Source organism: Homo sapiens, chromosome 1 (assembly GCF_000001405.40).
Source record: "Homo sapiens chromosome 1, GRCh38.p14 Primary Assembly".
In the NCBI taxonomy this organism is placed as follows: Eukaryota; Metazoa; Chordata; class Mammalia; order Primates; family Hominidae; genus Homo; species Homo sapiens.
In genome coordinates, this window is record NC_000001.11 from 86,895,029 (window position 1) to 86,918,871 (window position 23,843).

Sequence of the window (23,843 nt, forward strand, 5' to 3'; positions counted from 1 at the left end):
TTAAAATGTGTCAGTTGAAAGGACTTAAAAATTTGAAAGTAGGATTGTGTTTGACATAATTTATTTCTGTATTAGGTTTCATACAAGTAGTTATAAATAGTAAAAATTTTCATACTAATTCTGTAAGAATATATTTCCTCTTGATTCGACTAATCCAGGAACTTGAAAGTGGAATAAAAGATACTGCTCCAAATTTTAACACTGGCAAATCTGATAGTTTATATTTCATATCTATTTTCTTTTACCCTACTTTGTCAATAGCAATTATTATCATGCTATTCTGAGTTCTCCAAATTTTCTGTTCTTTCTGGCTTTTATCATCAGCAAACCAGATTACTACTACTACTATTACTGCTGCTGCTGTCATCGCCACCTGCAGCAAGTATTTACCTACTACTTGTTATATGCTAGACACAATTTTAAGCAGTGCATGCATATTAACTTATTTAATCCTCATAATCACCCTATGAGACAGGAACTATAATTATCCCCAATTTATAGTTATAAAAACAGACACACAGTAATCAGGTAATTTGTCCAAGAACACTCGCTGAGTAGCAGAGAATATCTGAATCTAGACAGTCTGGTTCTATAGTCTATCTTAACCATTAGTCTAAACTTCTTTGTTTTTAATCAAAACTGAACAATAAATTAGGCTGAAATAATTTGTTTATTATTTCACACAGATAAGCAATTCAGCTAAGTGAATTCTTATCTCCAGAGGTGCTCTGGTTTGGTACCAGCTTGACCTTCAGAATAGTAGTTCAGAAATAAGGCAAGTGTAAATGCAAAAGACTAAAAATGCTAAAACCAATTATATCAAAATATTTTGAAGGAGGAAGAAAGAAACTACAAGGACCTTGGGAAACCAAGATCTAAAAAAGAAAAGGTACTAACTAAAGAAATAGTGGGATATAGGCCAGGCGCGGTGGCTCACGCCTGTAATCCCAGCACTTTGGGAGGCCGAGGGGAGTGGAACACCTGAGGTCAGTAGTTTGAGACCAGCCTGTCCAACATGGTGAAACCCCATCTCTACTAAAAATACAAAAACTAGCCGGGTGTGTTGGCAGGTGCCTGGAATCCCAGCTGCTTGCGAGGCTGAGGCAGGAGAATCGCTTGAACCTGCAGGAGAATTGCTTGAACCTGGGAGGTTGCAGTGAGCTGAGATCCTGCCATTGCACTCCAGCCTGGGCAACAAGAGCAAAACTTTGTCTCAAAACAAAGAGGGGGGGAGGGGGAGGGGCGGATATAGTTAGGGAAAAAAAAGTTCTAAAATAACATCTCAAAGCAGCTGAAATCATTATTAAGAACCTTGATTAAGGAAATAATGAAAAAAAGCATCCAGCAGCCATAAGCAAGTTCAAGTGCACAGAATTTGCAAGATTATAAAAAGATGAGAAAAATAACCCACTTATTTAACCCACTAAAATACTACACTTAATCTTACAGATCTTAGAAAATAGTGAATAGTTCAAAAATTCTAACAGAAAAAATATTTATATGTATCCCAAGAAAATCCCAGGAAACAATTTTAATCTGATGGTCATGTATACTTTGAAAAAATACCTATTAAGGTGAGTGGTCAAATTGGAATCACTAAAAAGTTGTGCTAAATAATTAACATTATCTCTTTTTAGATAGATTTGGGATGCTTATGGCATCCTTGTAAGTAAAATGTAGAAACGGGAGATCTATATTTGTAGTTAGATAATTATAACCAAAGAGTGTTACCAATGGCTAACTGCCAACATGGAGACAAGTTTCCTTATTCTTTCAGTTTTTAAAAATATATTTCAGGATATAAGTGAAATATATGAAAAAGATATTTATCAAGTAGCTATGAAGTTATGTATATTTTCAACATAGCTTTTAAAAAAATCACCTTTTCCAACTTGTTCTTAGTAAAAACAGCCTTATTCAAGGGCAAGAACTTATGAAATACTGTGTGCTAAAGGCTGGAGATTCATAAACATTTAAAAAAAAAATCAAAGAGCAGGCCGGGCACGGTGGCTCACGCCTGTAATTCTAGCACTTTGGGAGGCCGAGTTGGGTGGATCACCTGAGGTCAGGAGTTTGAGACCAGCCTGGCCAACATGATGGAACCCTGTCTCTACTAAAAATACAAAAAATTAGCTGGGCGTGGTGGCGGGTGGGAGGCTGAGGCAGGAGAATCTCTTGAACCCAGAAGGTGGAGGTTGCGGTGAGCCGAGATGGCACCATTGCACTCCAGCCTGGGCAACAAGAGTGAAACTCCGTCTTGGTGCAGGGAGGGGTGGAAAAAAATCCAACAGCATTATTTTTTGGGAGAGAAAGAAAAGCAAAACAATAGATATAATATAGTGTAAATCAAAGTATCCCTAAGTGTTTTGGGAATACAAAAGTGTAGCTAACATAACCTGGGAGTGATACTGGTGGTGTGTAAGGTTGGGGAGAAGTCTAAGAAGATGGGAAGCTGAGCTAAATCTTCTAAATCATCTAAAGTAGAAGTGGTTTACTCTAGTAATTGAGGAATAAAGATATAAAATATCTAGGGGACTGCTTACCTAGTACCTAGCTCTGCTCTTTACCTGAGAACTGCTTCATCTGTCTGCTTTCCAATACACCATTCTACATAGCTACTATGCAGCTAACAGGTTCTTGCATTATTCCACAACCCTAGCTAATAAGTGGTTAGTGATCCAACTAGGACAAACAACAATCCTTGTCAAAAATTTCAAAAAAATTTTTTGAAAGCCAGTCAGTAGTGAGACAAAGAATATGCCAAAGCAAAAAAGAGGCTGCAAGAGCCTGTCAGTCTCCAATTTTTAGCTGCTCCTTCCTCCCAGGTTGCTGCTCAACTGTGGAGTCCATGAGTCAAAAGATTAACTACTTTCCTTAAACCAGCTAAAATGGTTGGACAAGGAAGTTCATAAACAAGATCAATGGGAAGAGTTATACTCAACTGGACTGGGTATCTTTACCCTTCTAAAGATTCAATATATAAAGCTGAAGTCACTTATATTCCTTAGTAAATACTAACTGTACAAAAACAGTACTAAAATTTAAGTACGTTTTGTTTCATTAGTTTACATTTTCTTCAAGCTACAAATTAGTTATGATTTTTACAATAAGTCAACATCCTTACCAATAATGTCTGTAAATTATACCCGGGTTGTGAGCAAAGCCATTTAAAACAGTAGTAAAATAACTGATCAAAAATCTCATTCTAGCTTGTATTTGAGACGCTGAGTAGGTCTTTTATGATCAAAACTGGAAGGGAGGGAGACCAAATAAAAATAGTGGAATATCAATCAGCAGAATGACAAGGGGTTTCAAAGACATTTTCTGCTTCTTTGGGAATAATTTCTAACAAAAATTTTATGCCTCTGGCTATCAAAGTCTAAATTCAGTTTGTTGAAAAAGTGACCATTACTAAAAATGAGTCTCATCCTTAGATAGACCTATATAAAGCATCCAACTAATTAAGAACCAAAAATGAATGTCCTGGTAACATTTTTTTATTATGTACAAATAGCTAAAGCATTCTATATAAACTCTGACTTTCTCTTCTTCTTTTTTTTTTTTTTTTTTTGAGACAGAATCTTGCTCTGTCGCCCAGGTTGGAGTGCAGTGGTGCGATCTCGGCTCACAGCAACCTCTGCTTCACGGGTTCAAGCGATTCTCCTGCCTCAGCCTCCCAAGTAGCTGGGACTACAGGTGTGTGCCACCACACCCAGCTAATTTTTTGTATTTTTTTTTTGTTTGTTTGTTTTTTTTAATTTTCATTTTTATTTTTATTGATCATTCTTGGGTGTTTCTCACAGAGGGGGATTTGGCAGGGTCATAGGACAATAGTGGAGGGAAGGTCAGCAGATAAACAAGTGAACAAAGGTCTCTGGTTTTCCTAGGCAGAGGACCCTGAGGCCTTCCGCAGTGTTTGTGTCCCTGGGTACTTGAGATTAGGGAGTGGTGATGACTCTTAAGGAGCATGCCGCCTTCAAGCATCTGTTTAACAAAGCACATCTTGCACCGCCCTTAATCCATTTAACCCTGAGTGGACACAGCACATGTTTCAGAGAGCACAAGGTTGTGGGGTAAGGTCACAGATCAACAGGATCCCAAGGCAGAAGAATTTTTCTTAGTACAGAACAAAATGAAAAGTCTCCCATGTCTACTTCTTTCCACACAGACACGGCAACCATCCGATTTCTCAATCTTTTCCCCACCTTTCCCCGCTTTCTATTCCACAAAACCACCATTGTCATCATGGCCCGTTCTCAATGAGCTGTTGGGCATACCTCCCAGATGGGGTGGTGGCCGGGCAGAGGGGCTCCTCACTTCCCAGTAGGGGCGGCCGGGCAGAGGCGCCCCTCACCTCCCGGACGGGACGGCTGGCCGGGCAGGGGGCCGACCCCCCCCACCTCCCTCCCGGACGGGGCGGCTGGCCGGGCAGAGGGGCTCCTCACTTCCCAGTAGGGGCGGCCGGGCAGAGGCGTCCCTCACCTCCCGGACGGGGCGGCTGGCCGGGCGGGGGGCTGACCCCCCACCTCCCTCCCGGACGGGGCGGCTGGCCGGGCAGGGGGCTGACCCCCCAACCTCCCTCCCAGACGGGGCGGCTGGCCTGGCGGGGGGCTGACCCCCCCATCTCCCTCCCGGATGGGGCGGCTGGCCTGGCGGGGGCTGACCCCCACCTCCCTCCCGGACAGGGCGGCTGCTGGGCGGAGACGCTCCTCACTTCCCAGACGGGGTGGCTGCCGGGCGGAGGGGCTCCTCACTTCTCAGACGGGGCGGCTGCCGGGCGGAGGGGCTCCTCACTTCTCAGACGGGGCGGTTGCCAGGCGGAGGGTCTCCTCCCTTCTCAGATGGGGCGGCTGGGCAGAGACGCTCCTCACCTCCCAGACGGGGTCGCGGCCGGGCAGAGGCGCTCCTCACATCCCACACGGGGCGGCGGGGCAAAGGTGCTCCCCACATCTCAGACGATGGGCGGCCGGGCAGAGACACTCCTCACTTCCTAGATGGGATGGCGGCCGGGAAGAGGCGCTCCTCACTTCCTAGATGGGATGGCGGCCGGGCAGAGACGCTCCTCACTTTCCAGACTGGGCAGCCAGGCAGAGGGGCTCCTCACATCCCAGACGATGGGCGGCCAGGCGGAGACGCTCCTCACTTCCTAGACGGGGTGGCGGCTGGGCAGAGGCTGCACTCTGGGCACTTTGGGAGGCCAAGGCAGGCGGCTGGGAGGTGGAGGTTGTAGCGAGCCGAGATCACGCCACTGCACTCCAGCCTGGGCACCATTGAGCACTGAGTGAACCAGACACCGTCTGCAATCCCGGCACCTCTGGAGGCCGAGGCTGGCGGATCACTCGCGGTTAGGAGCTGGAGACCAGCCCGGCCAACACAGCGAAACCCCGTCTCCACCAAAAAAATACGAAAACCAGTCAGGCGTGGCGGCACGCGCCTGCAATCGCAGGCACTCGGCAGGCTGAGGCAGGAAAATCAGGCAGGGAGGTTGCAGTGAGCCGAGATGGCAGCAGTACAGTCCAGCTTCGGCTCGGCATCAGAGGGAGACCGTGGAAAGAGAGGGAGAGGGAGACCGTGGGGAGAGGGAGACCGTGGGGAGGGGGAGAGGGAGACCGTGGGGAAAGGGAGAGGGAGAGGGAGACGGAGACAGAGACGGAGACGGAGACCGTGGGGAGAGCAATTTTTTGTATTTTTAGTAGAGATGGGGTTTCACCATATTAGCCAGGATGGTCTCGATCTCCTGACCTTGTGATCTGCCCGCCTCGGCCTCCCAAAGTGCTGGGATTACAGGGGTGAGCCATCACACCCGAGTTGACTTTTAAAGAATTTATGCTCACGATGATTCCACACACACAGAGCTATGTTTAAATATATGTATCTTTTTTGAGTCAGGGTCTCTCTCTGCTGCTCAGGCTGGAGTGCAGTGGCATGATCTCAGCTCACTGCAACCTCTGCCTCCCAGGCTCAAGCTATCCTTCCACCTCAGGCTCCTGAGTAGCTGGTACTATAGGCGTAAACCACCACACTTGGCTAATTTTTGTATTTTTTGTAGAGACGGGGTTTCACCACGTTGCCCAGACTTAAATATTTTTAATGTAAGGCACTAGTCTACATATTAGACTTTTACTTTTATTGACAACTAAATTAAACTGTGATTTTAAATTAAGCCTTAAGCCAGAGTTGAGTGACACAGAAAAGTATATTATATATATTGTGTTATCCATGATCATGTACCAAAAATCCAGAGAACAATATTGCATAGATTAAATCTAGCACTATTTCTATACTTGCATGTGGTTTGCATCTAAATGGGAGGATTGCCCAACATACCATACTTTTATATTTCCAGTAATATTTTTTAAGTGTTTTTTGCTATGTTTTGGTTTCACTAGTCTTACTAAAAAAAAAAAAAAAATTCACCAGTTTTGTGCAAAGAGTGCTAGTCAATGCTAATAAAAAGTACATCTTAGAGATTAGGGGCTAGGAGCAAAGTTAAAAACACTGGATTCAGTGTAAAAGATGCATTAAGACAGGTTTACTTGTACTTAGATACGATAATCACTCCAGCTTGTAATTAGCTGGGCATATATTAATTGGCAGATCTACTTTTATTGCTGAGCTGCAACTGCTGAAATGTGTCAAGATACAACATATAGCTCCATTAATAATGAAAATTGAATAGGAATATAATTAATTTTAGAGGTTTGTGGTGCAAGTTTGGTTCTACTAAAATTATACCAAAAAACTGGGGTATTATGAAGAACTACTAAGAAAAGGCAGTAAGTAAAAATAGCTTTTACATGCATTTGGTTTACAGTTTTGGCATATCTGTTGTCAAATAGCAGACCTCTCAATTTACCCTAATCACAAGGGGGTGTGTGTGGTAAACACTGTTTATTATAAAATGCCCCTTGTTCTTCAGTCCTTCTGAGTTTGGTGTTTCAGTGAAAAAGGATGTTGGTTGAGTAGTAGTACAGCCCATAGAACAGCTTAAAGATAAGGAGAGGATGGCTCATACAGATTTATTCAGCAATTTGTCCCATGTGAATACCTCAGCAAAAAGAACAGAGGGGCAGCAAAAGGTCTACTAAACTAGTTAAGTTGTATGTCTTAAATCTATTTAAAATCAAGTTTTAAAAACTTGTTTAGATTTTATTTACATGCAAGAAAAAGAATAACTTATATGTAAAGAAATCTTCTAAACATTAAAATGTTTTACTGGTATATGTGAACCAGTAAAGTGAAAAACATGTAAGGCTTTGCAAGCCATTTTTGAGATACTTGGAATTTCAGGTTCAGATACAGAGAAATCAAGGGTTAAATTTTGGCTGAATACTAACATTTCAAAGCTTGCCTGCTTGTTTTTCTTTTAGAACTCCGAAAATGCACTTACTGTTAAAAACAAACCTTTACTACCAATAATAATAACACATCATTATGCCTGAAAGCTTTACAAACCATAATACTTCAAACAGAATTCAGCATGTACAAGTCAAAGACAGTACTGGAAGGAAACAACAGAAATATGCTAACATTTTTTTCTCACTACAAACACAGGTATCTTACCAATTTAGTTTTAACTGGACAACTCAAATGATCTTTCCAGTCTACTTTATAATTTAAATAAATCTAAGAGTTTTGATGAAAATATTTAAAAGATGAGCAAGTTCACTATTAATTTGTTTGAACAGCAGGTTTTAAAACATAGTAGGTTTACCTGGAGAGACTGAACTACCTATCCTTGGCTCTGTTTTCAGATGTTAAAGGTGAGGTTAGGTGTCTCAAATTACTAGCAATAGGTGTGTAAACTAACAGTCCATATTCTTTTTAACCAGATTTCATGTTACAATTTATTGTAGACAATTAAGTGCCAGGTATTATGTGCTTTACTTTCATTTCAAGTTTCATCCAACACTGGGTTCTTACTATAAATGAACAAAAGCACCTATTATTTTTTGGCTTCATTTGGCCAGAAGTTAGGAAGACTGGAGAACTACAGGATCAAAGCATGTTATAGGGATTCTACTTCCCCTTTGCTTGACAATCATGGTGGAATGGGATCCTGGTATGCAACCATACTTCTCCTTCATATTTGCTTTGATTGAACTAATAGGCCAGACAAGAAATCAGTTGAGTTTTACTAAAAAATGTAAAAGCTTAGAGGCTTTTTTACACTTAAATTGATTAAGCAACTTACATTTTTACCTTATCTCAACTAAACCATCCAATGGAAGGAATATACTAGAAAACAGTACCTTTTTGGTTTCAAATTGTGCTTCCTCCTGACAGCATCCTCTGCAATCAGGATCCAGCTGAAGCAGGTTGAACTGTCCGAGAAGATCACAAGAGCTGCAAAGCAAGTTGCTAGAAAAGCCTAACTCTCTGCATGCCTCCGATGAAAACTCTGCCCCAAAAGCAGACACCTGAAAATAAAAAATGGGAAATAAAACACAATTCCATATTTATACTACAAAGCTTTCCAAAAAGAGAACACGGGGTTGTCAAAAACTAACACATTGAAGACAAGTTACTGAAATGTTTCATTTGGAGATAAATTCTTTTAAATTTTAATTTAATTTTATTTTTTTTTGAGACGGAGTCTTGCTGTCGCCAGGCTGGAGGGCAGTGGTGCAACCTCGGCTCACTGCAACCTCTGCCACCTGGGTTCAAGTGATTCTCCTGCCTCAGCCTCCCTAGTAGCTGGGATTACAGGCGCATGCCACCACGCCCAGCTAATTTTTGTATTTTTAATAGAGACGGGGGCCACGATGGTCTTGATCTCCTGACCTCGTGATCCGCCCACCTTGGCTTCCCAAAGTGTTGGGATTACAGGCATGAGCCACCTCGCCCAGCAATAAATTCTTTCTTAAACTCTGTAACCTTATGTAATAGTCTGGTTTCTCCCACCTCCCCTACAAGCTTTTTTTCTTAAACATCCATCATCTTTCAGCTTAGCTAAAATATGGATTAAGAAGAAAAGGCATATCATTGTTCATGATGTTTATCACATAAATATTTTCTTAAAGATTTATTGTTTTAAAAAGGAATTTTCTTATAAGAAAAAATAATTTTTGTTTCATTTTAAGAACTCAACATCTGTTCATATGGGTCTATGGAGTAAGATTAGCTGTAGGGTTTATCTACAGTCACATCCAGCAGAAGAAGGACGGGAAAGGGGATGGTGCAGGCAAGAGCACGCCAGAATTCAAACTTTTGGTTTTAGGTAATAGTGCCACCAGTTACAAGATTCGTGACCCTGGGCAAACTATCCTCCCTAAGCTTTAATTTCCTCACTCATAAATTAAGGGGCAATACTTCCTACATAAAACAGATTGCTATGGTTACCTTACATAAATCGTTACATTAAATCAGAGATGATTTAATCAATCAGAATGGCTGACAAAAGCAGGCTTTCAACAATATTCCCTTCCCTCATCCATTCTTTTTTACCTATCAGTGAATGTGGTATACCTCCATTTGTCTAAGGCCAATCCCTCTACTTCCTCTTTGGATTCTATCTTAACAGATACTTCATTTCATCAATACTTCAACCTTTAGCTATATTTAAGCCCTATGGTCCTAACTGCTCTTCCCACGTTCTGTCATTTCTGAATTGTTACTATAACTTGGTTTCTATTATCTTTATTTTTTCCTAACACCCCAAACTCATTAATATAGCCTGGTTTCTGCTCCTACTACTCCACAAAATTTGCCCAAAATTACCAAATGCAAAGGCATTCAAAACTGTTCTGCTTCAACTACCCCGTCCAAAGGCCTGTCCTCCTTTACTTTTCTCTTCTATGCATCTCTTAAATGCTATTGTTTCCCACAGTTCTGTTTTTGGCTCTCTCTTAGCTTTACATGCCTTCTATTTATTACTGCATATTTATCCATGGCTTCAGATATGCATTTATTGAAAACTCTCAAGTATTTTTCTTGAATGTCAGGCTTCCAAAGCCAACAGTCCACTCAATATCACATTTAGGTGTTGAATATGCATTGCAAGTTCAAAATCTGCAACACTGAAACTTATATTTTTCTTAAATCTATTCTTCCTAAGGTATTCAGTATCTTAGTAAAATGGCATCATTTCTCTGACAAGCTAGTTGCCCAGATCAGTCATCCTACTGACCTACACTCCATATTCTTCACCATTCTCACAACCAATTAATATATTTTTATAATTCTCTTAAAAAGCTCTCAAGTCTTTTCCTGCCTCAGTGGCTTAAATGCTCACTGCCAAGGCTACTTCTCATTACTTCCTCAATTCCTCCTGCTATAAGGAATTCCTATAGTATCTTGAAGTATAAAAGCCCTACTCAAACACACTTTTGCTCACAGTCTCCCCTATATTTAAGGTTCTGTTTCCACTTCTTCACCTTGTAACATCTTACTTATTTTCAAGAATCTAATCAGTATTAGTCTTTTAGGAAGCTTTCACTGACCAAAAAAATCAGATCTCAATCATTAGCCAGAGTACTTTTCTTCTCCGAGAAACTTGTGCACAGTTGTAAAACAGTACCGTTCGTGACACTGTACTATGTAAATCTGACTCCTCAACAATACTATGAACTCTTCTGAAGGCAAGCATTAAGTTGTTTCTCTGTCTTTCCCTCACTTGTGACAGTTTTCATATATCTGTTGGATAAATAAATCGCACAAAGCCATAGCGTCAGGTAGGGGAAATTTCAGATTGACTGCAACTGACTGATCTTCTAGACTAAGGGTATGCAAACTTTATGTGAAGGGCCAGATAATTTTGTTAGGCTTTTGTGGCCATATGGTTTCTGTACAACTATCTAACTCAGCCATGGCAGTGCAAAAACTAGTCACAGATAACACATGAATGAATGAATGTGTCTGTGTTCCAATGAAACTTTGCTTCATTTTGTTATGTTAATTTGTTCTACAAAAACTGGGTTGACTGAATTTGGCCCACCAGCTGCAGTGTGTCAATCCTTTTCTAAACTCACCAGGTAGATTAATATCCAGTGGCATTTCCCAATGAAAAGAAAATTTAAGTACTTGTTGGCATATTCACCCAAAATGCTGACGTGATATTTTATACATCTTTAATCTTATCTCTGTAATAATGTCATATGTATAATTTTTCAAAACAGATGAGACATCCCAGCCTAGTGGGAGGGAACTGTGACTTTATTGGTTAATTTGTGTGTTTGATCTCTCTAGTTTAACTATAAGACACTTGCTACCATACTAGTACTTTGGGTAATTTCTCCATCAGTAAAGTGATCTGCCTCATTTATTTCACAGGATAATTTGAAAATCAAATGTAACAATGAGCAGATTGTGTTTTCCAAAGACAAGACAATCAATATGTATCAAAGGCTGCATCAATGTGTACATATCATTTCACATGTTCTTACAATGTTAGTCCTCCACTGAGAAGTGGGGTCTATGTTCCCTCCCCTTGAATCTGGGCACGGGCCATGACTGTTCTGAACAACAGAGTTTAAAGGAAGTTATGTGATTCTGAGGGTAGGTCGTAAAAGAGCAAACAGCCTCTGCCTGGCTAGTATTCTTTCTTTCTAGGAACATCAACTTTGGAACTTAGCCAACCTGCTGTAAAGAAGTCTATACAAGAGAGACAACATGGAAGGGCCCATGTAGAGAGCAACTGAAAACTCCAGCTGACAACCAGTATCAGCTACTAGACATGTGAGTAAACCACCTTCAGATTTCAGGCCCTAGTGTTTCAACTGAGGTCTGAGACATCATAGAACAGACAAGCCATCCCTGCTGTGCCCTGTCAGAATTGCTAACTCACAAGATTTGAAAGCAAAATAATCAATTGTTTTACGTCACTAAATTTTAGGGTAATTCTGTTTTGCAGCCATAGTTACTGAAAGAGGCAATAAGAGTGAAATCACTTTGGAAACTGTGAACTCGTTAACAAACGTATAAAACTGTTACCAAAACCTTTTAAACAACAAAATAAGAACCTCAAATGAATAATCATGCAATTATACTATTTGGTTTTATTCTGGCATTTATGGAGCACCTACTGACAGGTAGCATGACTATGCAAAACATCATGTATTTCAAAGTCTTAACACACATCTAGATTCAAATGCCATCACAGAGCTACCTTATTTCTAAACAGGGAGTATTATCATTTATCTCGTGGAATTCTGAGGATTAAAGAAGCAAGTGCACAGAAAGCATCTAGCATCCCGCCCAGTACACAGTAGGTACTGAATACATGTTGGTATTAGGCTCACCTTCCACTGTGAAAGCACACTTAAAAATTACAAAACACTATATAAATGTTTTTATCACTATACTAGACATGGGATAAAAGATAAGTATAGGGGAGATACAAAGTATCGAGTTTCTTAGGTAAACTACTTTTTTCTAGCTGTTCTATCACTGGTTTTGCAGACTTAAGGCTTTGAATTTAAGGACATCAGAAAGTATTTTTAAGTACCTGACAGATAAATGCTAATATATGAGAGTTTGATATTATTCCTGCCATCCTTTTATTGCCAAAAGTAACTGATTGGCATTTAAATTTGCACATTAAGATCAAATATTAAATTTTAGATTAATTAGCCACACTTGTAAGAAAGACAAAGATTCTAAGGACAGGGTTCCTGGCTAGGATAACCATTTAGCTTTCTCTATTTCAAAGCAGAATTGACAAATTAAGAGGTTCAGCTGGATGCGGTGGCTCACATCTATAATCTCAGTGCTTTGGTAGGCCAAGGTGGGTGGATCACCTAAGGTCAGGAGTTTGAGACCAGCCTGGCCAACATGGTGAAACCCCGTCTCTACTAATAATACAAAAAAAATTAGCTGGGGTGGTGGCGCACACCTGTAATCTGAGTTACTCAGGAGGCTGAGGCAGGAGAATCGCTTGAACCCGGGAGGCGGAGATTGCAGTAAGCTGAGATTGCACCATTGCACTCCAGCCTGGGCGGTAAGTGTGAATCGCCATCTCAAAAAAAAAAACAAAAAAAAAAACCAAGGCTCTATTCCCTCCTTCTCCATGCATTACTCACTGTTTTATTTTTCCAGTATTAATGAGTTCCTTCTAGATGAGAGAGTTGGCAGCAGAGAAACTGGGTTAACTGTACTATACCATTACCTTAAAAATCTGATCTAGCTATATATTTTGTTACACTTACACCTACATATTCGTTGTCTCTTCACTGGTCTTTATAACTTTCAGGAAACTCAGAGGTTTCTCATGTAATTCTGAGCAAACTCCAAATCTGAGACAAAAGCAAATAGATGGGATTACAGAATGAACTCCATGAAAATGAATACCAGAAACATGGCCATTACAGCAAGCTTTTATAAACCAGCAGATATTTTGTTAAGTACTTTACATTATTATTCCATCTAATCTAAACCATCTTGTGAAAAAGGTATTGTTATCACCATTTTATAAAGAAAGAAACAGGTTTAGGATAGTTAAGGTAATTTGTCTAAGACCACACAGGAAACAAGAGATGACAGCAACAAGATTCTAATTCTGGCCTGCTCTCTATGCCCCTAACCACTGTTACTGACTACCATATTTCACAGAATCCATGATACACCATTATCGTATGTACCACTAATAACAAAAGCACCAACGATTTTAACTGTGTGATCCGTAAGGCCCAGCGAGATATTAACCTGTGAAGAAATGGAGTGGGGGGCATCTCAGAAAGAATGATACACAATTATCATTCTATACTGCTTTTTAGTGTAGTGCCTTTTTGAATGAGAAAATATTACACATGATCTGAATGAAGGATTGAATATCATCACTTAGTTCTGGGGAGCGTTAATAAACAGCTCCCTAAGACTGTACTAAAATATCACTTTTCTATTGCTTATTTAAGCATACTCGATGTATTTTCAGATTAAATCACTTTATATCCAGTTGTTACCTCACTGAAATATTGACAAATATGCAGTTATTAACTTGAAATTAAAGCTATTCAGAGGAGTAGACAGTGATAAAAACTCAACTTGTCAAGTATAAGAAACTCAGAGGTATCAATTAACAAAACACGAGTGCAGTCCCAATGACAGTTTTATCCATAGCAGTATCTCAATCTCAAAGTGTCAAGAAATTGTTCCCTCATCCCCCTTTAATTCCTATGGAAGTTTCCAAAGATTTCACTACTGCCAACTACTTATGCCACCTGATCTTTTTTTCCCCTTGGGCTAACTGTGACATATGCAGTTTCCAACTTCTTACTGTTTTTTCAACAATTATCTATACTCCTTTTCATTTTCAAGGTTTTTCTTGCTTTCTTTTCTTAAAAGCACTAGTTACTACAGAAGAGACATGAATAAACCTTAGGGAAGTTATAACAGTTCAATAAGGGTGAATTGTCCAGCACTCTCTCTTTTCTGAGTCATTTTTGTATTTTTGAGAGTGGTTGGGCTTCCTCACTGCTCTACACAAATTGCAAATATCCTGATGACTTTGATGGCATGGAGCAACAACACAAATGAACTGGGGCCATTTACGCTTCAGAGGGATTTAAATGTACAAATACATATGAGACACAACGAAGGGAATATAAAATAAAAATGGTCCCTGTATTCTCTTTGGCTACATTCTAATTGGCACGGGGACAGGAGGAGTGGAGGGATACTAACACACACACACACAGAGCTATGATTTGGTTAAGACCATGTGGATTTGTGTAATACAGTATAAAGTATGATGATACAAGGCCAGGGGTGGTGGCTCAAGTCTGTAATCCCAGCACCTTGGGAGGCTGAGGCGGGTGGATCACAGGGTCAGGAGTTCGAGACCAGCCTGGCCAACATGGTGAAACCCCGTCTCCACTAAAGATACAAAAAATTAGCTGGGCGTGGGGGCGCGTGCCTGTAATCATAGCTACTCGGGAGGCTGATGCAGGAGAGTCGCTTGAACCCGAGAGGCGGAGATTGCACCACTGCACTTCATCCCGGGTGACAATGCGAGACTTCGTCTCAAAAAAAAAGTATGATGATACAATATGCAAGGGAGAAATTACATCTAACTTTGCAAGTCTGGAAGTGGAATGTGAGTTAAGCTTTGCATTCTATTGAAACATCTTAGTTCAGGGAGAAAGAGATAAAGAAACAAAGGCCAAGAGTAAATTAATTTGCCTTAGTCAGTTATTAGAAGTTAAAACTAAAAAATACATTTCGTTAAAGTAGTGTACTTCCCACTAAATTATACGTCATGAGTATGAATTCAATAGGCAGAGTTTGAGAGAAAAAGGCTGTGTATGATGGCTGTCTTTGGGAATATTTGGTGGAATGGTGTGGCTGTGGCTGATCACCCAGTAGTTTTATTTGATGGTAAGTTAGGATGTTCCATCCTGTGGGGGTCACATTCACAAAAAAATGAGTAAGTTGATTCCTGCCTCAAAAGGTTTCAGTCTGGCTGGGCGCGGTGGCTCACGCCTGTAATCCCAGCACTTTGGGAGGCTGAGGCAGGCAGATCATGAGGTCAAGAGATCAAGACCATCCTGGCCAACATGGTGAAACCCCGTCTCTACTAAAAATACAAAAATTAGCTGTGCGTGGTGGCGTGCACCTGTAATCCCAGCTACTTGGGAGGCTGAGGCAGGAGACTGGCTTGATCCCGGGAGGCAGAGGTTGCAGTGAGCCGAGATGATGCCACCGCACTCCAGCCTGGCAACAGAGCAAGACTCCATATCAAAAAAAAAAAAAAAAAAAGGTTTCAGTCTAACATGTACTTACCAGCTAGAGTTGCACAGCTACCACAAATTTTTGAATCATATCTAAGGCAGAGTCCAAGCACATGTATTTTTTAATCTCTCCTCCTCCCAACAATTTTCATCTACACACCTCCAGTTGGGATCACTGATAATAGAGCTCTATGAAGGTAACTGAAGCTGATTTTAATAGTTTCCAAACAGATTTCATACTTCCAGGTTTTCAGACCTTTGCTTGTGGATTCTCTAATTCATTCATCAAACATTTCACTTATACATCAAGTATAGTACTACTCTGTATATGTGTCACTAGAGATAAAACAGTCAACAGGAAAGACAGGGTACTTCCCTTTGGGAGTGGGTAGGAGAATGCCAAAGAACAAGAAATTATTAAAGAAAACTATGGAACGTATCTCAGAGAATAAATATTGATCACCACTGGAGCACACAGAAAGACTCTTAATCCAAACTTGAGGGATAGCGAAGCTTTGTTGGAGGAAGTGATTTCTCTACTAAGAACAGAAAGAGAGTAAGTAGAAGACAGCCATTTTTGTTGTAGGGTAGGAGAAAGGGAGGAAAGGATGAGACGCTGGGAAGCGGCTTGTAGGTAATGAAAACACCATGCTCAAAGGTCTGGTGAGGGAGAATACAGTATGTGAAATAAGCTAAACAAGTGATGCCAATTCTCCACTTGTACCTTTCTGCTCTCCTAATAGAAGTAAATGTTGGGGAATAAGCCTGGATAGACAAACAAGTGCCTCCTTAAGGAACATTGAGGAAGACAGACTTCACCTTAAAAAACAATAAGCAGCCACTGAAGAGTTTTAATCATGACAGATTTAAATTTTAGGCAGATCACTTGATGCACTGTAGAGATTGGAAATGAAATAATGAGATGGGAGACTAGTTAAGGAAGCTGTTGTAATTCTAGGCAAAGATAGTAGCCTGAATATAAATACTAACTGTGGAAACAAAATTATTAAGTGGACTGGCTTAGAGATTTTTAAGGCTTTAACGACTAATTGAATTCAGACAGTGAAAGGAAAGAGGATTTAAAATGACTATTTTTTTTTTTTTTTTTGAGACAGAGTCCTGCTCTGTTACCCAGACTGGAGTGCAATGGTGCAATCTCGGCTCAGTGCAACCTCCGCCTCCTGGGTTCAAGTGATTCTCCTGCCTCAGCCTCCCGAGTAGGCATGCGCCACCACGCCCAGCTAATTTTTATATTTTTACTAGAGACGGGGTTTCACCGTGTTGGCCAGACTAGTCTTGAACTCCTGACCTCAGGTGATTTGCCCACCTCAGCCTCCCAAAGTGCACTGGAATGAGCCACCACAACTGGCCAAAAATGACTAATTTTTGGCTTGGGCAATTGGGAAGCTGACAAAGGCAAAGCCAACCATTTAGATTCTGAATACAGCCAGGGATAATTCAAACGGTGAACCAAGACGCTGTTATTTCTGAGGAGAGAGATGTTTATGGCCTGAGTGATTAACAATAAGTGGATGGATTTGAGATACTTAGGAATTAAAATCAGTAAGTTTCAGTAATTCCCTGGATATGATATATGTAAGGAAAGGAGTCAAACATGACATCCAAATTTCTAGTTTGGATTCTGTGCACAGTCACTGTGGTACGCTGTTTAATTAATTCCTATCATTATTACATATGGAATTAGTTAATTCCATAAATACCTCCTATCCTGGTATGCACACTTTGCAAAGTGACTCTGTCATTCCTCCCATGTAGAGATGAAATCTATTTCTCCATCCCTGAATGTGAACTAGTCTTGTGACTTGCTTTGAGAAATATGTGATGGAAGTAATATATGTGATTTCCAAGGCAAGGCTTTAGAAGGCATTGTAGCTTTTGCTCTTTTGGAGTGCTGCCCTGAGAGTGCCATGAAAAGAAGTTGGTCTAGCCGACTGGAGGATGAGAGGTCACACGGAACAGAACCAAGTCCTCGAGCTGACAGCACCAACTATAAACAGTGGTAATCCTGGAACCTTTCGGTTTAGCTGACCTACTAGGTCAACAAAAAGCATAAATGAGGCCAGGGGAAAACCAACATAGGTGGAGTAGTTCTACTCCACTGACCCAGAATTATGAGAAATCATTGCTGTTTTAAGCTACTAGGTTTTAGGGCGGTTACACAGCTATAGACAACTGACAGTCAAAGACAGAGGGAGATCAAAAAAAGACAACCTGAAATGTTATCTCGAATGACCTAAAGATGTGCAAAAACCCTTAAACAGTAGAAAGTTTAGGGAGAGGTGATCCAGTAATTCCTAGCACCAAATGCCTGAATAACAAGATAATTGGAATGTTAATTACAGAAGTTAAGAATCTACCTTTTGGTTAAAGTAGCCAAAGCAAACAGCCAGGATGCTTTCAAGCTCTTTGAGAAAGGTAAGTACAGGTGTTCATAGAGGACTCCGGTGTAGTCCCTTAACACCCTCAACCTTGGATAAGTAAATTAAACCAGGTCTCCTTATTAGAGACTACCCGAAGAATTAAGCTAGGATAAAAAAACGTAAAAGCTTTCAGCACTGTGCCTAAAATTTTACTATTCACACAGCAGAACATGGATATGAGAAGAAATAAGTTAAAAGTACACTTTTCCCATTCAAAGGTCACCCATCTATTCTGCCAATAGAGAAAAATGAAATAAAAAACGCTGCCTTAAAGAAGACAACGAACATCATTTAAAAAACTAACTTCAAAAATGAATTATACTTTGGTATAGATAACTCCTTTTACTCCAACAACATTGTTTAAAAGCACAAATCGCACTCAAGCGCAGCCAGCCGTATATGAATAGCAGAGGAGAACGGAAGTTAAGAGACTAACAGAAGTAGTGAAAATGAGAGAGCACGCGCGCGAGAGAGGTAAACACAAACTGTTCGCCTGGACCAACGACTTGAAGACTTGCCTCTAAGAGTTGGAAGTCTCGTCATGAGTCTCTTGCATTTCTGTCCATTTAAAAACAACCTCCACTTCTTGCCAAGCTTTATTATTCCCCCCTCCCACCTGGTGTGGTTTACAGATTGTTTTTAGCAAGAGCCGTATAAGAGAAGCTACGTACCCAAGACAATCTGAAATCAAGAGAAAACTGCTGCTAGAAACCCAAGGCGGGGAAGGAGAAGGATCAACCGAGAAATTAAGCCACGTTGCATTCTGGCCGCAGCAGTCATTAAGGAAGCGCAGTCCTCCCCACCCTTTTCAACCAGGACCGAATGTTGCGTCTTTCTCAGCTGCAATCACTCCTACTCTCCCTGTGGCAGCTGCGAAGGTGATCTACACTCACCGCTTGAAGCACAGTCGCCAACAACAACCGTAGCCCAAACGCCGGCACCAGACACCCACTCGGCCCAGCCGCCATCGCTACCATTTTCCGCAGGTTTCTGGCTGCCTAGAAGGACCCCTAAGCTAGGGGCGTCCACTCCAGAGCCTGATCCAAAACAGAACGCTAACGGCCGTTGCCCTTACATCTCTCATTTGGAAGTGACAGGTATTAAATAACGGCATATGAAAGCTTAAAAGTCATCAAATACAATCACTGGGTGCTTTCGATTACCCAAATCAGGCACTTGCCTAAACTCCCCACTTCTTTACTTCTGCGGTCTCCTTTCTTTTATTCACGACACTTCGTCAAGCAGCCAAGAAGCCACGCCTTCGCCAGTTTTAGCCCCGCCTTCTTCTCCAAGTTTACCCAATTGAATGTCGTCTTGATTGAGCTCTGTGGCAGAGGAAACCAACCGTAAACCGAACCAAGAGCGAAGCGCAGGGGCTCTTCCGTCCAATAAGCGGACCCGAACGGGGGGAGGGGCGGGGCTTCTGGTTGCCGAGCAGCGTACGCGGATGCGTGCGCGTGGTGGCGGAGGGGGATGGGCGGGGGCGGGGATGAGGGCGGCGCAGCCGCAGCGCCGGTGGAGGGGCGCGCGGCCGCGAGCAAAGGAGGGAGGGAAGGAAGGAAGAGAGGGAGGCGGGCAAGCAGGCGGGCGCGGGGGTCGGGGACTGAGGCAGTAGAGGGAGGCGAGAGCCCGGCAGCCGCTTCGCGCTGTTTGCTGCGCGGGCTTTTGGAGGGGGCGGCCGTTTAGTCGGCTGAGGAGAAGCGGACACCAGCGGCGTTGGTGATAGCGCCTGGGGGAGGGGGACTGGAGAGGCGAGAAGGGGGGTCGCTGCGGTGGTTCTCTCGCTGTCGCTCTCTCTTTGCCTCGCTCCCGGCTCGGCGGGCTCCTCCCGGCGTCTCTCTCGCCTCCGGGGTCCCGCTCCCCGCCCCCCGCGGTATGTCTTGATCCCGAGCAGCGGGTTTCATGGGGCTCCTCAGGATTATGATGCCGCCCAAGTTGCAGCTGCTGGCGGTGGTGGCCTTCGCGGTGGCGATGCTCTTCTTGGAAAACCAGATCCAGAAACTGGAGGAGTCCCGCTCGAAGCTAGGTGAGGAACTGAACTGCCCCGGGCTGAGTGCTGTGGAAGGGGCCGAGGAGGCGCTGCCGCCGGAGCAAGTGGGCGTTCATCTAACCTGGGGTCTGGCTCGGGGGCTGAAAGCGGTTTCAAAGAGAACCGGGAACAAGGGGCAGCGAGAGCACGAGCTCCAAGAATGGGTTGAATTAAGCTTGAGCGGCGTGCTGGGCTCGCGAGGTCACGGGGCAGAGGTTGCAAGGTTGGGCTTCCCTAGCCAAAGGGTAGCCCCGAAGTAGGCATTCCGCGGAGAGAGAGCGAGAGAGAAGACCGAACTCAGTGGGGAGCGTGTGTTGCTGGTCTCCGGAGACAGAAGCGCTTAGCATCGCGTGTTCTCTTGGAAGTCGTACAGGAAGCCCTGGCAATGTCAGATGAGGGGTATTCTAATTTGAGCTATGGGCATCTGGATACGAATTCTTTTGGGGGCTCATGAAGGGATAGGTGCGCAGAAATGGGAGGAGATGCTGGGATGACGGAGAGCAACATGTGAACACTGTAGCGAGTTGCACTCTTGTGCTCCGGGCAGCAAAGGACCTTGTAATTGCCAGCTGAGGGAGGCTGGCCGGGTAGTGCGGGAACGCGAGTGCAAAGCTTCATCGGAGTACGGAAATGAGGGTCCGGAGATTTAAATTCTTCTTTAGTGGCGCTAAACTGATGAATTGGGGCTTGAGAATAGGGATGCCTATGTATGTTGCTTCACGGCAGTGTTGATGTGAATTTCGAAGAGGAGGGAACGCTGAAGGGGAATTATGTAGTGAAGTTTGTGTTTGTTAAAGGAAAAGTAGGATTATGCGGAAAGCTAACCATATGGTTAAATACCTTAAAGGGTTAACAGGTGCTTTAATGGATGAGGGGGTCTAAAGTACAAAAAGTTGGTGTGAAGTTGTGAAAGACAGGCCAGAAAAAAGCACAGATAATAGGTACTTTCGGATTAATAGGGCACTTTGGCATTTGGAAGAGCTCAGCATGGAGAGCGAGAGTTAAAAGAATGACAGTGATAAATTTTGATTTAAAAATGTACATGGCACTTAAAAATCAGCTCAAGAGGATGTAATTTGAATATGGAAAAGTAATGTGAAGTGTTTTTTGCATACTCTCACCTCAAAATCATTTTAAATACCTTTTGAGAAGCCAGCAAAAACAAAAACAAAAAACCCTCAGCAGTGTAATTTAGACTAAGAAATAGATGTTACTGTGAGTGGATGATTAATTTTTAGGAAAAATGTACCAGAAAATAATTGTAATATTATGTATAGTAGCTATTTTGGTACAAGGCTTTGCAAAAGCCTTGACATTTTAAAGAGCCTTGAAAGAAAAACCATCAAGTAAATCTGAGTGAAGTGCAACTAAAGTTGGAGGAAAACTAGAGTTACTTCCAGCCCTCAATTCTAGAGTAAAATTTGAAGAGATACTCAGTTTATTTACGAATTCCTTTATTAATATGTATCTTGTGTGGTGGAAAAAAATGTCCACTTTAAATATTGAAGGTTATCCAGTCTGGTTTTTCTTTTCTTTTGGATCCATTTAGCGACATTCAGGGTCATATTCTGGCGTTATTAATGATCCAGCTCTACAGAAAAAAAGACTCCTCTTGAAGTGGAAAGTTATATTAAAATTAAAATTTGTACTTATTTTTTGTTTTGTTACTATTTGGAATTGTCTGGAGTTGATTTCTTAGACACGTTACAGTGGGTTAGAATGACTTAAATTTTTGATTTTCCTCCTTTCCTAACATTTCTTTCCCCATATACTTGAAAATTGCTTCCATAGACACAATCTGAATGATTTTTAAAAGAAAGTTATCTGAAGATGTATAATGCCACAGTTAAAATATAAAGTGCTTTCTTGTGATACAAGAAAGAAAATTTCATAAAAAGTAGTAAATATGCATCAAAATCCTCCTGGGACTACAGATGGGTATACCTGGGAGTACAGGTGGGTGTTACCATGCCTAGCAGAGGAAACCATATTTTGACAACCATATTCTGTACTAGGCACTTTTCATCGTAGATACTCGTGTTTAAAGTAAGAACACCATTTAAAGCCATTTTTGACCAGACACGGTGGCTCACGCCTGTAATCCCAGCACTTTGGGAGGCCGAGGCCGGCGGATCATTTGAGGTCAGGAGTTCGAGACCAGCCTCGCCAACATGGTGAAACCCTATCTCTACTAAAAATACAAAAATTAGTCGGGCGGGGTGGCGGGCGCCTGTAATCCCACCTACTCAGGAGGCTAAGGCATGAGAACCGCTTGAACCTGGGAGGCAGAGATTGCAGTAAGCCAAGATCACACCACTGCACTCCAGCCTGGGCAATAGAGTGAGACTCAGTCTCAAAAAAAAAAAAACCAAAGAACAACAGAAAGCCATTTTTGCAGATGCAGGAACAGGCTTAGAGAGGTTATATAACTTGCCCAAGACCACATCGCATTTAAGTGGCAGAGCCAGGATTGCAACCCAGGTATGTATGATTCCAAATCAAGTGCTCCTTTAATTATGTCCGGCTGCTTAAGACTTTATATTGACATTACGCTGAGATTTAGGTATTTGAATAGAGTTTTAAAATTGTAATATCAGTGTTTAATTGCATTTATTGCTAAGAATGAATATCATTCAGAGAAAATTGAATTTCTGATACAAAGGAATTGGTTTAATGTAACGTCTGCCCCTTGTTTAGATTCATGTAATGAACATAATTATGTTACCCAATGAAACAACTGAATTAGATAGCTTATTTTTACTATAGGAAAGAAAAATCTAGCTGTTTTCCATACGTGCAAAATCACAATGTTAAAAAAGCATTTTTATTTTGGCATAAAAAACCTATTAAACATTTTGTCCTTAAAAGTAGTTATTATCATTTTCATTGTAGAAGATTCCAAAGGATAGTATTGTCTGATAGTGGCTTTAATATACCTTGATTTGAGAGTACAGTATTTTGATGGTGAGACTTCTAATAGAGCAATAGATGTATTCAAAACTGAGGTGTACTCATTGACTACTTGGGAAATTCACTAATTAGGAATTCCTAAAAAAAAAAATTCAGTAATACAGCTTTTTATTTTTATTTTTTAAAAAACAAATATGGCATTGTAGTCCACATATTACAATGCGGCTTGCTTTTTTTGCCTTGAATGTTATACACATCTTTCCAGGTCAGTACATATAGATGTGACTTACTCATTCTATTAATAATAGCTGTATAATATTCCAAAGTATGCATGTATCATAAATTATTAAGCCATTATTCTAGTAACGGACATTCAGTTTGTCCCCCATCTGTCGTGTGTGTGCGTGTGTATATATACATATATATATAATTTTTTTGAGTGTTTCTTTTCTTTCTTGGTATTATAAACAATTATAGGAAACATCCTTATGTGTCCGTTTAACTCATGTTGATGTCATTTTGTGCTAGGATGAATTCTGTATGTGAGATTGCTGGGACAAAGAATATACATATTTTATAATTTAACAGATTTAAAAATCTACTTTTCAACATTTTTTTGTTTTTCAAAAGATGTAGTAATCTACACTGCCAGCACACATTCATTAGCACTAGAAGATAATCAGCTTTTAATTTTTGCCAGTGTGAAGCTGTGAAATGATATATTCAATTAATTTACCTTCTAATTTCTAGGTAGGTTGAACATCTTTACATGTTTATTGCCCTTTTATTTGTTACTTT

At 41.3% G+C, this 23,843-nt stretch overlaps 2 protein-coding genes across 6 annotated transcripts in view, besides 5 other annotated features; one reads left to right on the forward strand and one right to left on the reverse strand.

The window, feature by feature from the left end:
• Positions 1-19,549, reverse strand: part of SELENOF (selenoprotein F) — a 52,133-nt gene extending 32,584 nt beyond the window's left edge. For 2 of the 4 annotated variants that reach the window (NM_203341.3, NM_004261.5), the window contains exons 1-2: positions 19,000-19,098; positions 8,253-8,420 (exon numbers count right to left, since the gene is read on the reverse strand). In NM_203341.3, coding sequence (NP_976086.1) covers positions 8,253-8,420; positions 19,000-19,083 — 252 coding nt within the window. In that variant the 5' untranslated portion in view covers positions 19,084-19,098. Of the gene's footprint in view, positions 1-8,252; positions 8,421-18,999; positions 19,099-19,286 lie in introns of those variants that run through there. The other 2 variants (NR_144513.1, NR_144512.1) reach the window with 2 other exon arrangements.
• Positions 18,395-19,009: an enhancer, noted in NCBI's record as "NANOG-H3K27ac-H3K4me1 hESC enhancer chr1:87379106-87379720 (GRCh37/hg19 assembly coordinates)". NCBI's record gives its function as "activates a minimal SCP1, AML or CMV promoter by ChIP-STARR-seq in naive and primed H9 embryonic stem cells {active_cell/tissue: H9 hESC(naive and primed)}" and the evidence as "EXISTENCE:reporter gene assay evidence [ECO:0000049][PMID:30033119]".
• Positions 18,858-18,907: an enhancer, noted in NCBI's record as "active region_1282". NCBI's record gives its function as "activates an Ori minimal core promoter by ATAC-STARR-seq in GM12878 lymphoblastoid cells {active_cell/tissue: GM12878}" and the evidence as "EXISTENCE:reporter gene assay evidence [ECO:0000049][PMID:35858748]".
• Positions 19,010-19,624: an enhancer, noted in NCBI's record as "NANOG-H3K27ac-H3K4me1 hESC enhancer chr1:87379721-87380335 (GRCh37/hg19 assembly coordinates)". NCBI's record gives its function as "activates a minimal SCP1, AML or CMV promoter by ChIP-STARR-seq in primed H9 embryonic stem cells {active_cell/tissue: H9 hESC(primed)}" and the evidence as "EXISTENCE:reporter gene assay evidence [ECO:0000049][PMID:30033119]".
• Positions 19,018-19,177: an enhancer, noted in NCBI's record as "active region_1283". NCBI's record gives its function as "activates an Ori minimal core promoter by ATAC-STARR-seq in GM12878 lymphoblastoid cells {active_cell/tissue: GM12878}" and the evidence as "EXISTENCE:reporter gene assay evidence [ECO:0000049][PMID:35858748]".
• Positions 19,228-19,347: an enhancer, noted in NCBI's record as "active region_1284". NCBI's record gives its function as "activates an Ori minimal core promoter by ATAC-STARR-seq in GM12878 lymphoblastoid cells {active_cell/tissue: GM12878}" and the evidence as "EXISTENCE:reporter gene assay evidence [ECO:0000049][PMID:35858748]".
• The window catches only part of HS2ST1 (heparan sulfate 2-O-sulfotransferase 1), a 195,348-nt gene continuing 191,111 nt past the window's right edge, over positions 19,607-23,843 (forward strand). For both annotated transcript variants that reach the window (NM_012262.4, NM_001134492.2), the window contains exon 1: positions 19,607-20,132. In NM_012262.4, coding sequence (NP_036394.1) covers positions 20,009-20,132 — 124 coding nt within the window. In that variant the 5' untranslated portion in view covers positions 19,607-20,008. The remainder of the gene's footprint in view (positions 20,133-23,843) is intronic.